A 6,000-nucleotide genomic window follows, 5' to 3' on the forward strand; every position below is an offset into this window, starting at 1 on the left:
TGTGGTGGCAGGTGCCTGTAGTCCCAGCTACTTGGGAGGCTGAGGCAGGAGAATGGCATGAACCCGGGAGGCGGAGCTTGCAGTGAGCCGAGATCGCACCACTGCTCTCCAGCCTGGGCAACAGAGCAAGACTCTGACTCAAAAAAAAAGAAAGAAAGAAAAAGAAAAAGAAAAGAAACCTGGGGATGAAGTAGCAGGCAGCTTCTTTCTAGGCATAGAGGCAGATAGGAGTGCCTGGCATGAAAAGGGCTAATAATTGGGGATAGTTAAAGACATTTAGATGCCATCACATTTCAGTTTGGGCTTTTTAACTGGAAAGATGCTTTGCTTTGCAGTTCTTTAAAGGAATCGCAAGCTTTGTGATAGAGGAGGGGGGCTTAAAAATCCCTGTGCGCTGTTTGGCTAGAAAACAACGTGAGGCCCCAGTGAGAAGGCGCAGAGGGCTGCGTGCTTGGGATCAGCTAGCTCTCAATTCCACATTCCAAAAACAGAATGACTAAGATTCCCTCAGGCTTTTCCCTACAATGGTCAAGAGGGTCTGAGAGGGCAGGGCGAGAGGCTGGACAGGATCTTGATGGGTGCTGGCCAGGGGAAGCTGCGTCTGTGCCTGGAGCACTCCTTGCTCCGTGTTTCTTAGGAAGTGTGGAGGCAAGCACGGAGCAGGAGGGGAGGGCGCAGAGCATCGCTTTCTCTGTGGCAGTTGTTCATTTTCCACAGTCCTTGTTTTAGACTATTTCTTCAATTGATGAGTGATTTTGGTTTTTTTTTTATTTTAAAATGTTTAACCAACAACTAAAAATCATATGTATTCAAGGTTATAACATGATGATTTGCGATACCTATGTATAGTGTAATGATTACCACAATCAAGTTAATTAACATGTCCATCACCACCCACAGTTACCCTTTGTGTGTGTGTGTGCGTGTGTCTTGAGGACACTTCAAATCTTTCAAACTTCAGCTAAATATACAGTATTATTAATTATAGCCACCATTAGACTTCCAGAACTTATTCATCTTATAACTGAAACTTTGTACCTGTTGACCAACACCTCTCCATTGTCCTCACCACTAGCCCCTGGCAACCACCATTCTACTCTCTATTTCTACTGTCTTTTCCACATATGAGTGAGATCATGCAGTCTTTCCATGTCTCACTGACTTCACTCAGTATCATGCTCTCCATGTTTGTCCGTGATGTCAACCAATAGCAGGCTATTTCTTTTTATGGTTGAATAATATTCCATCATATATATATGTGTGTGTGTGTGTGTGTATATATATGTGCATATATATGTATATATGTATGTATATATGTGCATATATATGTATATATGTATATATGTGCATATATATGTATATATGTATATATATGTGCATACATATGTATACATATGTATACACACATATATATATATATACATATCATGTTTTCTTTATCCATTTATCTGTAAATGGACACTTAGGTTGTTTCTATATCTTGGCTGTTATGAATAATGCTGCAATGAACATGAATTGAAATACTGATTTCATTTCTTCGGACATATATTCAGAAGTAGGATGGTTGGATCATATGGTAGTTCTATTTTTTAATTTTTGAAGGAAACTCCATACTGTTTTCCTTAATGGCTGTACCAATGACATTTCCATCAACAATGCAAAAGAGTTCAATTTTCTGTTAAGAGTGATTTTGAAGGCTGGGCACAGTAGCTCACATCTATAATCCCAGCACTTTGGGAGGCGTCCCAAAGTGCTGGGATTATAGGTGTGAGGCAGGAAGATCACTTGAGCTCAGGAATTTCAGACCAGTCTGGGTAATATAGGGAGACCTTGTCTCTACTAAAAATTTAAAAAGTTAGCCAGACACGGTGGTGCACACCTGTAGTCCCAGCTACTTAGGAGCCTGAGGTAGGAGAACCACTTGAGCCCAGGAGTTCATGGCTGCAGTAAGCCATGCTTGCACCACTGCACTCCAGCCTGGGCAACAGAGTGAGACCTTATCTCAAAAAAAAAAAAAAAAAAAGAGTGAATTTGGACTTATCTGTTTTTAATATGTATAAAATAATTTTAAAAGAGGGACAGTAAATTTTTAAAAAAGGATTGAGTTGGGTGAAGGCTGTGGTACTTGTTCCTGGTTGCATATGCACAAATACCAAATGCCATGCTTCTTATTCTTCTCTTCATTCAGGATAGGCTCAGCTGTAACAAACTATATCAAATCTCAGAAGCTTCAAAAGACTAAGGTTTATTTCTCACTCATGCCACCCGTCTACTGAGGGTCATGCGGAGTTCTGCTGAGTGATGTTCTCCATCCAGGATCCCAGCCAGGATCCCAGCTGGTAGAGCAGCCTCCACCTGGAACATTGCCTAAGATATTGGAAGGGTACACCAAGGCAATGGTGAAGCTCAAAGTGGCTCCTAATGGCTGGCCAGAATCAGCCTTTGTATCTCCTTGGCCAAAGCAAGTCTCATGACCACAGCTAATTCCCAGCAGGTGAAGATGTGATTTCTTCCATCCAGAAAGACAGAAAGCCAGAACATCTTGAACAGCTCTGGTGACTATCATATCCTTTTCTTCTAAGCCAAATATGAGATTCTTTTATAGCAGCTATGACATTCAAGGAGCTCTTACAGATGTCCCCAATACTGTCACAGTGGAGTTTATCTTACAGAATTGGGCCACTCTAAGTGACTACCTGTTGCCTCAAAGGGTAACAGGTCTAACAGAAAGAACTGTACTCCAGAATTGTAAGTCTTCTAGATTCTGCAACTGGAAGAGTAAGTGGATAAGAATAGCCAAGAACATGTGAAAGAAGAATTTGTGGAAGTTAATTTGTAATGAGGACAATCATAAATTCTTCCTGAGTTAGGTCTCCTTATCTGCAAAGTTCCCATCTGCCAAGGGGACAAGATACAACATGGGAATCCCAATGGATGCAGAAGGGAAGTAGAGGTAAATTTGCCTCTTCTAGCCACACAATATCTGGTAGAAGAAACGGAGAAAAAGGCAGGGGCAGACAACCAGAGGGAGGGGTAGTGATTCTGGGGAAAACAGAAGGCAGAGTATATTCATTACAATTTAATAAAACTATAGGAGGTGACCCTCTTGAAGGCTGCCTCCACACCCACCAGTCAAGGCTCCATCAATGTAAACTAGCAATCCAACATGGTAGTGCCCAGAGAGCCAAGATTATTTATCATGTTATGGACAGATTGGCATAGGCCCTGAGGGGTACTCAAAGGCCAGTGGGACTGCTTCAAGGCCCTTGTGTTGGGGTGGTATCCAGCATAGCAGACTCCTCTAGGTTGATATCCTGGGCCAGAGGGGACAGCTGGACAGTGTCACATTGGTTCTGACAGGTGCATGGCACTTGCATGAGCCAGACTGGGGCTAAGTCAGCCAGGCAGGCTGTCAGGCCCTAATCACATCAAGGATGGCCAAATCATGTTCCACTAGGGACCAGCTTGAGCTGCAAATGACCAATAGGACAAATGATGTCATCCAGAGGACCCAACCACCCGGATCTGAGACACAGTAAGCCTCCATCATCCACCCAGACATACGTTAGGAAACTGAAAGAGGAAGACAGGAGCCTCCAAAGATTGGGTTTTTGTGTAGAAGGAACTGAATAATTTAAAGAATGTTCAGTTTATGAGGTCAGACTGAGATGAATGAATGGAGATAAGGTGTCACGAGGAAGATCAGCTCACTGAGAGCAGTAGTTCTCAACCCTGGCTGTACATTGCCCAATGCCCAGAGCTTTCAGAAAATACTCCCCCCCACCCCAAACCACAACTATTATGTTGCAATTGCTGGTGGTGGGCTTAGATCTGGGCGTAGGTGCATATGTATGCAAGGACACATATGTACGTAATTTCTCCAATGTTTATAATGTACAAATATGAATTATCTAATAGAAATAAACAGTGTCACTAAAGGGCATGCCCTGGCAGATCCTCAGGGCTGGTGGAATTGGCTCCAGAACTTTTGCTCTTGGCTCCCATTCCCCACTGGGAGAAGCCTGATACCTGACTCCCTGAACCTGGCCTTTGGCTTCAGACTCTGAAGTCAAATCCCTTCCTTCTCCCTCTGGCTCAGTCTCCATCGACTCAACTAGTCCTGCCACCTCTTTTCTGCTTGGCCCAGCCCTAGCACCCTACTCACTGGTGTAGCCATTATAGGCAGCTCAATGTAGACCAGTCAGCGTTTTGGCTGGAAAATAGACAGATGTAGCTGAAAGAAGCTGATGGATCTTTCTCAGGACTGGCAGTTACCCGCCATGAGGATGAAGGCCACATGGGGTATAGTCAAGGGGTGAGCACACGTCCAGTGAACTGGCTGATTCCTGCTGTGGCAGGTGCAACCTGCAGGCCCACGGATGTCAGATCTTCTACAGAAGGGAAGCCAGAATTCTAGATTTTTATCTGAAATTTACCAATATTTAAATACCAGTAAGGAATTCATTTTTTATTACATTGTATGTGCCAAATGAAAAATAAACCTATTTATGAGTTAGTCCCAGCCCCAGGCTCCGGCCTTGGCCTCTGGAAAGCCTCTGAAACAGTAGGGATTGCGGGAAGAAGGGTGTGTGGAGGCCAAGGATCTGCTGCGCCTTTCCAGTCAGGTGGGTCACAATGAGATGGTTAAGTGTTTGAGCAGACTGTGACCACACTAAAAGTGATGCTTCCCCTGGGGCAGTTTTACAATAAAGATAATAAAAACCAACAAAAAAAAATGATGATTATAATTTTGTTTTGCATAACTTCTTTAAGGAGGCCCTCAAAGCTTTACAGAATACTTTAACCCTTTCAACGTCTCTATGGGGGAGGAATATGGAAAGTGATATCTTCATTTTTATAGCTGGAGAAACAAATGTTGGGGAAAAAGCTACTAAACGACCAAAAATCTCACATTTTTTTCAGAGGTGGATAAAAATCTGGGCTTAAGGACAATATTTTGTTGGTTATTTTGAATCCACTTAAGAAAAATTTCAACATGACTTATTTGCTCACATCATCCCTCATAATTCTTACATCCCCTCCAGCCATCCACTCACATCCCCTGTGCCCATTTTTCTGGGCTAAGTTCAGGTCAGTTGCTTTCCATGAAACCTTGCTGGGCTGTCCCAGGTCTCAGCTGACTCTCCCTCCATTCTCTGCACCCTGGTATTTAGCATGAGGACAATTCATATCACAATTAGTCTTGCTTGGTCTCCCGACCAATTGCTCTACCTACTGCATTGACACTGTGTTATTGCTCTGCGTTTTTATTGTGCTTTTTAAATGCTGCTCAACTCCTGGTAACTCCTTCAAGGTTGGGATAGAATTTCATACAATGGCTTCTGGGTCCCTCTCAGGGCCTTGGACAGAGCAGGCCCCAGAACATATTTCTCCCATTGCTTCCTTTATCTTAGCATCTGCTTTCAGTTCTCTAAAACAATAGAGTTAAGAAAACAACTGGGTGTGAACCAGCTCCTTGCCAGTTTTATGAATTGCACAAGTCTCCAACTTCTCTGAACTTCAGTTTCCTCAACTGTAAGTTGGCGATAATAGTCCCTACTTCCTAAGGCTGTGGTGAGGATGATATAATTTAGGGTATATAAAAATGCTAGAACATCACCCTAAACACAGTTAGCATTCTCTACATGTTAGCTGGCTTTTTCGTTTGCTTGTTTTTTATTTTGTTTTGTTTTTTAAGACTTAACTTTTTAAAAGCAGTTGTACATTCACAGCAAAATTCAGAGGAAAGTAAAGAGTTTCTCATGTCGCTGCTGCCCCTACATATGTGTAGACTCCACTATTATCAACATCCCCTATCACAGGGGTCCGCAACCCTCAGGCCACAGAAGACCGGTACCAGTCTGTGGCCTGTTAGGAACTGGACTGCACAGCAGGAGGTGAGCAGTGGGCCAGCCAGCATCACTGCCTGAGCTCCACTTCCTGCCAGATCAGCACTGGCATTAGATTCTCATAGGAGTGAACCCTATTGTGAATTGCACA

The 6,000-nt window shown here is 43.3% G+C and overlaps 1 long non-coding RNA gene across 1 annotated transcript in view; it reads left to right on the forward strand.

Moving 5' to 3' along the window:
- Positions 1–4,726, forward strand: part of INHBA-AS1 (INHBA antisense RNA 1) — an 85,460-nt gene extending 80,734 nt beyond the window's left edge. The window contains exon 4 of the long non-coding RNA NR_027118.2: positions 2,189–4,726. This is a non-coding gene — a long non-coding RNA (INHBA antisense RNA 1). The remainder of the gene's footprint in view (positions 1–2,188) is intronic.
- The last annotated feature ends 1,274 nt before the right edge of the window (positions 4,727–6,000 follow it).

This window comes from Homo sapiens, chromosome 7, assembly GCF_000001405.40.
Source record: "Homo sapiens chromosome 7, GRCh38.p14 Primary Assembly".
Lineage (NCBI taxonomy): Eukaryota > Metazoa > Chordata > Mammalia > Primates > Hominidae > Homo > Homo sapiens.